At 35.0% G+C, this 12260-nt stretch overlaps 1 pseudogene; it reads right to left on the bottom strand.

The window, feature by feature from the left end:
- On the bottom strand, positions 10048-12057 carry PGBD3P4 (piggyBac transposable element derived 3 pseudogene 4; annotated as a pseudogene).

Below are 12260 nucleotides of genomic sequence, written 5' to 3'. Positions count from 1 at the left end.
ACAGAGGTCATTCAGGGTCATCTTAGACTCTCCCTACACCAAACAACATTTCAGAGTTTTAAATTAAGTCATTATGCTGTATACTTTTTATCCTCTAGAATGTAAGGGCCACTGATACAGAATATAATGTTTGTTTAAAACTGTATCTCCAGCTTTCTGACTATTGCAGGACCATATTAGGCACTTGTGTTAGGCTAAATAATGCCTGCCCCCAAAGATGTTTGCATTCGAATCCCCTTAACTGGTGACTACATTACCTTACATAGTAAAAAGGGATTTTTCAAACATGATTGTGTTATGGATTTTGATATAGAATTTATGGTGGATTATCTTGGTGGGCCAGTGTAATAACAAAGGCCCTTGAAAGAGGGAGGCAGGAAGATCAGAGTGAACAGGAGATGTAATGATGAAGCAAGAGGTTGTAGTAATGGCAAAGAAGAGGCCAAGGAATACAGGCTGTCTCTAGAAATTGAAAAGGGCAAGGATACAAATTATCCCCTAAATTTTTCAGAAGAAAAGCTCTAAACTGCTAATCCATCCTGGACTTCTTACCTCCAGAATTATAAGAGAATAAATTCATGTTGTCTTATGCTACTAAATTGTGGTTATTTGTTTCAGCAACAGAAAACTAATAAAGCACTCAAGAAATACTTGTTGAATGAATAAAAAGTTCTATAAAGTTTTCACATAGCATTACAACTGTCATTACATATCCATCACCGCCCCCGCAAAATTAAAAACGCAAAGAAGGGTAATTATGAGGAAGAAAGGAGTGAAATATTTCAGTGAGTTAAGAAGAAGGAAGAATGGAAGGAAGAAAATAAAGAAGGGTGGAGGGAACATAGGATGGGAGGGTAGAAGGAGAGAGGGAGGAAGGTAAGGAAGCTCAGTTTTAGATTTTCAAAATTATATTACCTAGATTATGGGAAAGAATCATCCAATTACATTTTAAAGGGGTTAAACATCAACTAATGTTTAATCCTTGGTATGACATTTTCAATAAACCTTTGAAAAATTAAGGTATATATAGAGAGGTGACTGACATGATGGAAACCAAAATTAAATATATTAGTTGAGGAAATAAAAGTGAGTAGTCAGAAAAACAAAACAAGCAAAATAAGACACTACTGTGATTAGAGATTTATCAAAGCATGAGTTAAAACATAAACTTTGAATTTGTAGTGATTAAAACACTTAGTAGGTACTAAAATAAATGCACTTGAAACCCCCTTCTAAATATAACAGTCCATGATATCACGATTGTTAGATTACAAGTTCAAGTTGAATTTTTCAACCTCTATGATACATTTTAAAGTTGTATGTATTAGTGTCAGCTGAAAATGTATCTAAACTCAATACATATGCACGCATTTTACAGAATTATGCAATATAAACAAATCAATTCAATGAAGTACTTGTCAATAACCAAATTCTTCTTAGAGAAAGGTAAAATATCTTTTAGGTTTTCCTGTTATTTTGCAATTCACTAAGAATAGAGACGGAGTGAAGTATATGTGTAAATTGTAATCCAAATGCAAATGTAATTTAATACATTTCATAAAATCCACTGAAAATACTCCTAGAGAGATAGATAAATTCAGTAAATTTCTTAAAGTAAACATTACATACATTGCTCTTAGAATTTTTTTTTTTTTTTTTTTTTTTTTTTTTTTTTTGAGACGGAGTCTCGCTCTGTGGCCCAGGCGGGAGTGCAGTGGCGCAATCTCGGCTCACTGCAAGCTCCGCCTCCCAGGTTCACGCCATTCTCTTGCCTCAGCCTCCCGAGTAGCTGGGACTACAGGCGCCCGCCATCACGCCCGGCTAATTTTTTTTTTGTATTTTTAGTAGAGACGGGGTTTCACCGTGTTAGCCAGGATGGTCTCGATCTCCTGACCTCGTGATCCACCCGCCTCGGCCTCCCAAAGTGCTGGGATTACAAGCGTGAGCCACCACGCCCGGCCTGCTCTTAGAATTTTATATTAAAAAACTATGATGATTTTTCTATGTTTAGAACTCCATATTATTTAAACTGATTTTATAGTACTAAACTGTATTTATTTAAATATATGTAATGTGGACTATTACAAAGATTTATATTCTAAAAGTATTTGGATATTAGTAGAACTTCACTGTCAACATATTCCAAGGACTCATGAAATTACAGATTTTTTTGGAAAAAAGCTAAAGAGGCTTCCAAAGGGAATTAGTAAAAACAAATCACCTGTCAAATTCTAATATCAGATTTTCCATCAAAAGTCAATCATGAAATGTCTTTGTACATTAAAAATTGTTATACTAATAATGCATCAAATGGAATATTTGTTTGATTGTAGCTTGTGTTTAATAAATCATCTTTCTTCCTTAATTTATACAAATAGATATATCACTGATGTGTCCCAGGAAACCTATCTTTAGAAGGCTAAAGTTGTTTATAATGAACTGGCATCTTACAATTAAATAGAGGAAGTGATATTTATAACTTTTTGCTGTCTTTGAAGTATATGAAAGAATAAGACATAATATGCCCTTTCTTTCACTGCATTTGGTCCATGTTTTCGATTTTTATATAAGAGTAGTCTGTAGTTAGATCTCATTTTTTTAAAAAAATCCACCAAGAAGCAACATATTAAAACAAACACCCATGGACACACCCACACTCACACAAATAGCCCTTGAGTAAATGTGTTTGGGGGTGGGGGGTGGTATGTGCGTGTTTTAAAGTTAGGAATGATGGGGATGAGTTTAGTGGAGGAGGTTGGTGGTAATTAAAACAAGTTAAAACAATCGACTGCAGCTCTTCCAGGAACGGATTACATAACAAACCTTAAGGGAAATTGGAAAATCTATTAGTTTAGAGCCTAGATGTGTCTAACTACTAGGTAAAAACAATGGAACTCCATTAGTGCTTCAGAATGAGAACTTCACATAACACAGCATGTAATAATCGTTAAGCTAAAATCCCATCAGTAATCACCTGGAATCAAGTAGCCAGTGAAGGAAAGACTTTGAATGAAATGAATTATAGCTTCTTTAAGACAGAACAAAAGATATAAATTTGAGGCTGTAGTGTGATGTGACTCCTTGTCATGGAACTTAAAAGTTAATTTAAAAAATTTTAAAAATTATAAGATCAAATCTCTAAATTCTTAGTTCAAAGTGTGGTAGACTACAAAAATGAACACTAATAATGTCTCTGATTCTTCTATGCTTATGCCACTCAACTCATAAAAAGATAAAGTCAGCTCCTTTCTCCTCAAATCTGGGCTGCTCTTGTGACTGATTTTGATCAACAGAATGAATGAAGAATGACACTGTATGAGTTCTAGGGCTTGAGCTTCAGAGATCCTAGTAGGTTCCATTTTCACCTTATTGGGATTCAGCCCCCATGAAAAAAAGCTTGAATCACAGCTTTGAGTGATAAAAGAATTCATGAAACAGAAAGGACCAATGGATGCCCAGCCATAATATAGTCATGCCAGGTAAGGCTCTAAAAAACATGGGGGTAGCCATATGGGATCCTCCAGTCCTCGTTGTGGCTGTAGACAACACCATATGGAACAGAGACAAGCCACCATCAGTAGGCTGAATAATGGTCCCCTGAAAAATTTCTGCACCCTAATTCCTGGGAACTATGAATGACATCTTTTATGTCAAAAGGAACTTTGCAGATGTGACTAAGTCAAAGATCTTGAGATAGGAAGATTATCCTAGAGTATCTAGTTGAGCCTTAAATAGGGCTCAACTTATTTATTCTTAGATAAGAATCCCATAGGTTCTTACAGAGAGGCAAAGAGTCTGAGACACATTTCTTACAGTAGTAAGAAAAGTAGTAATTTTCATGAATATAACGTGTAAGAACTGTTATATTCATGTAAATATACATACACATTTCTTACTAGTGTAAGAAAAGTTATATTCATGTAAAAAGCAAGATATTGGAGTGAAGTGATGTGAAGAAGGAGTCATGAACCTAGGAGCCAAGCTGTAAGAAAATAAATTTTTGTTGTTTTAAGCCTCTTAGTTTTTGTTAACCAGTAACAGCAACAATAGGCAACTATCACAATGCGTCTGTTGACTCCTGCACAAATTATACAATAGGGAGAAATAATGAATAGTTATTGCTATTTCATGTCACTAAATTGGAAGGCAGTTGTTAGGCAGTAATAAAAAACTGTAATACAAAGTGTGAGTACAAATCCAGGCTCCTTATAACTGTGCTAAAAGAAACTGCTAGTTAGAGTCTCAGGAGTAAGATAACTAAGAATTAAGGTTAAAGTATATTCTATATATTTACAGTGTTAGTTGAGTTCAAAGGGTAACAAAATCTTTTTTTTGTTTGTTTGTTTTTTGAGACGAAGTCTCCCTCTCGTCGCCCAGGCTGGAGTGCAATGGGGTGATCTCGGCTCACTGCAACCTCTGCCTCCTGGGTTCAAGCCATTCTCCTGCCTTAGCCTCCCGAGTAGCTGGGATTACAGGCACCTGCCACTACGCTCAGCTATTTTTTTTGTTTTTTTAGCAGAGACAGGGTTTCACCATGTTGGCCAGGCTTGTCTCGAACTCCTAACCTCAGACGATCCACCTGCCTCAAACTCCCAAAGTACTGGGATTACAGGCACGAGCCACCACGCCTGGCCCACAAAGTCTTTTATGTGAAATGTAGTAGCCTGTCAGCAAAGAGTGGACAACTGATAAGTGGAATGGAGATTTGGAGATTCAGAATACAAAAAGCATAACACCCAATTAGTCTCATTTGGTTGCCAGAGCAAAGCTCTGACCATGCCAAAGCTCTCTAACCTGAGGGAGTTACTCTGCAATGCTCTCTATAGTGACAACTTAAACCAGGTCACAGTAAAATTCTAGATGATAATAACAAAGTCAACCCATGAGAAGATGTACCTGCAAAACAACATCAGGGATTTGTTAATTTGTAAAAAGTCTACAATTTGCATCTTATATTTGGGCAAAGAATTCTGAAAGTGTTTGTACAAAAAGTGGAGAATGTAGTTTTAGACTTAAATGGATTCATGGATTATATTGTACTCATCAAAAATATTGCTTCCTTCCATTTCCTTTGCTGTTGTCATCATGTAATTTTATTGTTACATATTCTATAAACTCACAATAACTTATTTTTACATTAGAAAGTTATATTTACTAGTTTTAAAATAATATTAAGTAATATATTATAAATTATATTTTATATTGTATATATAATATTATATTTTATATTGTATACATAATATATATTATATATAGTAATAATTAATAATTATTAAAAATATTATTATAATTAAGATAATTATTGTATGTGTGCCCATACAATTTTCTCTCACATATCTTATTTATTTATATTTGATGAACTTTCTTTTTTTTTACTTTTATTTTAGGTTCAGGGGTACATGTGCAGGTTGCTTATATAGGTAAATTATGTGTCACAGGGGTTTGGTGTACAGATGATTTCATCACCCATTTAATAAGCATAGTATCAAATAGGTAGGTTTTTGATCTTCACCTCCCACCCTCCAGCCTAAAGTAGGCCCTGCTGTCTATTTTTCCCTTATTTGTGTCCATGTGTTCTCAGTGTTCAACCCCTACTTATAAGGAAGAGCTTATGGTATTTGGTTTTCTTTTCCTAGGTTAGTTTGCTTAGGATTATGGCCTCTAGCTCCATCCATGTTGCTGCAAAGGATGTGATCTTATTCTCTTCTGTGGCTGTGTAGTATTCCATGGTGTATATATACCACATTTTCTTTATCCAATCTACCATTGATGGGCATTTAGGTTGATTCCATGTCTTTGCTATTGTGAATATATGTGTGAATGTCTCTTTATGGTAGAATGATTTATTTTTCTTTGTGTATATACCCAGTAATGGGATTGCTGGATTGAATGGTAATTCTGCTTTGTTATTTCAGAAATTGCCACACTGCCTTTGGCAATGACTGAGCTAATTTACATTTCCACCAGCCATGTATAAGCATTCATTTTTCTCCACAATCTCACCAGCATCTGTTATTTTTTGACTTTTTGTTAATATCCATTGTGACTGGTGTGAGATGGTAATCTCATTGTGGTTTTGATTTGCCAACAAATGTATGAAAAAATGCTCAACATCACTAATCATTAGGTAAATGCCAATCAAAACTTCCTTTTAAGATTTGTTTTTAAATTGAAGGTCTGTTGATAGTGAATTCTCTCCTCTGTTTTTTGTATTTAAAATGTCTTCATTTCACATTTGCTTATGAAAGAGAAGCAGATCATTTTGTACTAGAGTTACATCAGCTCTTGGGCTATGCCACAATTTTTTCTACAGAAACCTTAATTGTTACATAATAATTTCAGCTGATGACATCACTCCCACATGACTACCAGAGCAGAAAATAGAAAATGACCTGAAAGTTTTGGTGAGACACTTGCATGTTGGAAGATGTAGATATGTCACACAAACATACAGGGGACTGTTACCTCAGTGAAGTTTCTGTGGTCTGAACTATGGCAGGATATCCATTATACTTTGCATAATCATCACTAATGAAGGAGAAAGAAATTTACTCATTGGGCTTCTTTACCTTTTGGAAGTAATTTGCAAGTTTTTCTTTTTCTCCATGCCATCTGATTTACCAAAAGGCCACCAACTCACAGTAGGGCTTTGAAAGAAGAGAAAGATCTCCACATGGTTCCGACTCCAGTAAAAGCAGCCCTGACCTTGTGATTCAAATAATACAATGATGTTCTAAGAGTCTGTGGCAGATGAGGTGATAGAAATCACAACAGAGGTCCCTTGGCTTTTATAGCAAAGTAATGCCCCTTAATCAAGTAGTAACTACTTTATTTTGTTTTTATGTTTTCAATTGACACATTGTAATTGTAGAAATGTGTAGGGTACAGTTTGGCATTTTGATGCACATCTATGTTGTATAATGATACAATCAAGGTAGGTAATGTATCTGTTACTTCATGCATTTAGTATTTCTTCATGTTGAGAATATTCAAAGTGTGTCTTCTAGCTATTTTTAATACACAATATTTTACTATTTAACCAAGAAGAAGACTATTTTCTTCTGCAAAATGGCTCTTCATTATATATTGGGCACTGGTAGAGGGAGACTTATCCTGCTCCATGTCATTATACAAAGGGAGCTAGCTGCCCATAATATACAGGATGATATTTATCTAGCCCATAATATCAAACATATCCAGTAACACGCTATCTTAAAATAAAGTGAAGTGCCTGGGACCAGACCTGAGCTACTACTGAAACCACAGATAAATTTAATTAACAAGTAACTCTACCCATACTAACATCTAACATCTTTTCCATAATATGCACTTCTGGACTTAATGAGTACTGTCCATGATCATGTGAGAAATAAAAATAAAATTGTGAGTCTGATAAACAATACTCTGGCAAAACATAAAATGACATGCTCTTATTTTACATACTTATAAAGAGGAGACCCTGGAAAACCACATAATCCTTTCAAAATTCTTCTAAGGCAAAACTTCCAGTGGTGTATCTCATTGTCTATTTCTCTTGGAAGGAAAGATAGCCTAAGGTATCCTGTACATCAATTTGGTGTCAAATGTTAAGGTTTGGCCAGATGGCCAGGGGCCTGCAAATGATATGATTAGAGGACTAGTACCAAATTTAGTATGGTTGAGGGCTTTTACTTAAGGTACTATATGGACACTATCATGGATGGCTAAAATTACCCTGCAGGATGGGAAACATATAATAAAAGGTACAAATGAAGGAGAAATGAAAGGAGTATTAATGATATGAATAGTTTTGTTCTTTGGGGCCATCCTCTGTAACCATAACCAGTGGTAAAATTTAATAAAATACCACTAAATCATTGTACAAATTACCAAGAGTTCAGGTCTCATAGGAATAAAGTTTAATCACATCTCTAAGCCAAAATCCCTATCATCTGGGGACAGAGAAAACATAGAAATAGTGATTGCAAAAGGAAAGTAATAAACATAAGCGATGGCTTCCTAGACAAATGCAGACACAAGGCCTTATTTTGGTATTTTTTACTATGCTACCTAAATATTTATATATTTAAAAAACACTTATTTAGCTCACTTTGCCTTTTTTAGTAATAATGTATATAAATTTTATTGTCAGTAATTTATTTTACAATCTTGCTTTTAGAATGTATAATATGGAAACAAAATAACATAAAAATTAGAGAATGTGATGAACATTTTGTAGGGATTCTGGACATGGATCTGGTAGTTAAAACTGAAGAGATTTTGACTGGCTTCTTTAATCAGAAGATGAATGAATACAAGTCCTGTAGAATATAAGTCACCCTTACAAATGAAGGAAATCCTGACATTTGCAACAATACGGATAAATGTTAAGGACATAATGTTAAGTGAAATAAGCCAGGAATAGAAAGATAAATTTTACATGATCTCACTTGTGTTGAATCTGAAAAAGTCAGGCTCACGAAAGCAGAGCTGAACAGCAGTAATCAAGAGCTGAGGGGAAAACAGGATTTGAGAGACTTTGGTTAAAGGACACAAAATTTCAGTTAGAAGAAATAATTTCAAAGAGATCCATTGTATAAAATTGCAAATATAGTTAGTAACAATGTTTTGTAGACTTGAATATTAAGAGAGTAGATTTTAAGTATTCTCACCACAAATTAATGATGTCTCTGAGATAATGCATGTGTTAATTAGCTTGATTTAATCATTCCATAATATATATTTCAAAACATCATATTGTACACCATAAATATATATATTTATTTGTCAATTAAAAATAATTGACTAAAAATATAAAAATTTATATTCAGTTATATACTGCCTTAGAGGATTCTGTGTAATTCTTTTTTTTTTTTTTTTTGATAGGTTCTCACTCTGTTGCCCAGGCTGAAGTGCAGTGGCATGATCTCGACTCACTGCAAACTCTTTTTCCTTGGCTTAAGGGATTCTTCAATCTCAGCATCCTGAGTAGTTGGCACTATAAGTGTGAGCCACCACGCCCGGATAATTTTTTCTTTCTCTTTTTCTCTTTTGTACAAATGGATTTTGCCATGCTGCGCAGGCTGGTCTTGAAGTCCTGAGCTCAGAACGACCCACCTGCCTCGGCCTCTCAAAGTGCTGGGATTATAGGCGTAAGCCACCATGCCCAGCAGTGTAATTCTTTTAGTGTATGTTGATCAGTCTCAATTTATTTTATTTTTTCTCAAAGAGGATGATTTCTATTGTACATGTGGGTTTTTCCCTACTTAAACGTTTTGAATGATAAACAGTCTCTCTACAAAATGAAGGAAATCTAACTTTAGTGCATAACTCACCCCACCTGCTTCCCTGTTGCTCTGGCCCAAGTCTCTATTTTCGTGTTGGTTACTCTTTGCTGTGATAACTAATGTCTATTATGTCTAGGGGTCATCTATCTACTGTAGTGCCACTGTACTAAGGTTTAATTCTTTCTTGCTGTTCTCTTCAGTTCATTCTTTTAAAACATTTTCAGCATTGATTTTGGTTATTTATTTACACATTTCTCAAAAATTTGTGGCATGCCAAATATTTTTGGTACTGTTTATTTGATGAGTAAAAATCTCTGCCCTCATGGAGCTTATATTCTGGTAAGAAGAGACAGATTAAAGAAAATAAAGTATTTTATACATGTGATGATTATAAGAGTAATTGGAGAAAAAATAAACTGGTTAAATGAAAGGGGACTGCGGAGATGGCATTTTATTTTATATTGTGTAGTCAGAGAAGACCTCTCTGGAAATAACTTTTGAGCAGAAATGGGCAAAAAAGTAGTTTAATATGAATTGAAAAGGAAGCTTGTCAGGTATTATTATGTATCTCTATTTTAATCTAGAAATATGTTAAGAAGCAGTTCTGTAATTTTTAAATATTTTTTACAGATATTGTTAACTCAAATGATCTCTAATTTTATTTCATATTTAAAAGACACAATTTTGGTTACAGCATTTATATTTGCTTTTGTTCACATGTATTTTAAAATTCTCCAGGTGAATATTTTACTATAATTTGAACTATCAAATCCTGAATAGATTAATCCTTTTATGCCTGAGGTTGCAATTTTTTAAATTTGTGCATGAAATTCATATATGTTACCTAGAAAAGTTCAAGACACAAGAATTTGAAAAGGAAAAATTTTTATTATGTTGTATTGTTGAGTTATGTGGCATTCAAAAAATGGAACACTAGGCAAAATCCTTGCTACATTGTACATAATGTATAAAATCATGTTTCTTGTCTCAGGGGGTGGTGAAACCTGCTGTCCAGTGTGATATTCAACAGAATGCTTCACATGCAAGGTAACATCACATTTTTCACATTGAAAAGTGTTGTTCTTATGACACTCAGCATACCACATTTGCATTCCCTGTTTGACTATCCCGTGATTTATGCCGTCATAATATGAGTCAGTGTTATGCTTCTGAGAAGGTCTTTTTCGGCCAGGTTTTAGACGATGACCATGGGTCTTCAAATAATGGCATACCACACGTCGATGAAACTCCGGAAAATCCACTGGCTTCTCATCGTATGCTTTATGCAATTGCCAAGCATTTTGTAAGACCAATTTGAAACAGAACAAAAGAGGGCTTGATATCATTTATTTCCACAGATTGATGCCTGATACTTATTAATGTTTTCATCTGCTGTGTGTATGACTCCCATGAACTGGTTATAAACACTTTGATCATGTTTGGCTGCTGACCTTGGATCTTCTTTTTCAGCTTCTGGGAATAAGAACTGACAAGACACAGGGGATCAATACCAGCACCAGATGAGGCAATAGTGACAACACTGTTATCATTCCACCTGCAGACAGTACTGCCTTTGCCATCAATTCGATAATCGAATTTGCCTCTATCTTTTTTTCTTTAGAGCTGCAGCTGATTCCAGTGGAGCCTTGTCAATGCAATACTTTCTCACTGTACCTGTTGCCTGAGGTCCCATTAAACTGAGTTTATCAAGAAGTGCAATACTGGTGAAAAAGTTATCAAATACAAAATGGTATTGTCCAGGGTGTGTCTCTGTAATTGCCTCACCAAAGTGAAGGACAAGTGAGGCACCAACACCAGATTCCTCATGTTTAGTATCAGGGTTTTTACCCTGATAAAGCTGAAACCCGCAATGTAGCCCAGACATGTGGTACCACACCAAATCTTACAGCCAAACCGAATGGGCTTTCCCCAGATAAATTATTTGCACCCCTGACAACCAAAATAAGGAACCCTGGATTCATCAAAGCTGAAATATGTTTCATTTGGAGCAAATTTCATACATCTCTCATTGAGTTTGCTTGCAAGAGGTCACCACTCGGAAAACTGGTCCATTGGATCTAAATTTGCATTGTCAGCAACATGCAAATTAGAAAATGTAGTTCAAAACAGTCACGTCTCATGGCAGTACATTATGCCAGTACATTATGTGCATCTGTTTTTGTTCCCCAAACATATGCCTTCTAGGAACTGAGATGTAACCACTCAGAAAAATAATTTCCAGAAAAGATTTGAATTTGGAGGTAGTCAAGCCAAGATGTACATCCTTACTTCGAGCACATAAGTTGGAGCCCTTGACAATGAACTCAACAACCTCATCATCATGAAAAAGTTCAAGAATTTCTATGGGAGTTCTCATTTTGGTGAAGAAATCGTTTGGTGATTCTGTAACTCTACCTCTTATGGGCTGTACAGTTAGGCCAGCTTTTATCCCTTTGCAAACAATTTTGGTCACTTTCCTCCTCTTTGATGGTGGAGGTTGCTGTGCAGTAGATGTAGATGAAAATTCATCAGGAGAGTCATCTTTAGGTGCATATGAGGGATCATCTCAGTCAGATCCAGCATCAGAGCCATCTTGAATAAGATATGCAGTTGCAGGCAACAAAGAACCTGGTGGATTATTTCTTGTTCCACCTTCTTTATCTCCTGAGTCCTCATCAGAAACAGGTGCTGTAGCATTTTCAGGTGATTGTGTCACTATAGCACTTGCTGTTATCTGTCTTTAAAAGGTCAATTGTTTCATGTAAATTTAGAGTTTGCAGCATCTTGGGACGAAAATGAAAAAAAAAGGTATTATTAGTCCTAGTGGTAGTGGTTTTGCCTAGTCTTCCAAAAATAGAACGCGAAAAATGTAAAACCCATGACTAATGCAACAGTAATAATTTCGATATTTTCTTTTTACAGCACAATAGCAAAATGAATAGAGAAGTAATAAAAAATTACTAGTGTAGGTTATAGTTCAGTAAAGTTATATGT

Source organism: Homo sapiens, chromosome 4 (assembly GCF_000001405.40).
Source record: "Homo sapiens chromosome 4, GRCh38.p14 Primary Assembly".
NCBI classification, from domain to species: Eukaryota; Metazoa; Chordata; class Mammalia; order Primates; family Hominidae; genus Homo; species Homo sapiens.
The sequence above is the reverse complement of the archived record's forward strand: the minus strand, read 5'-3'. Positions and strand labels throughout refer to the sequence as shown.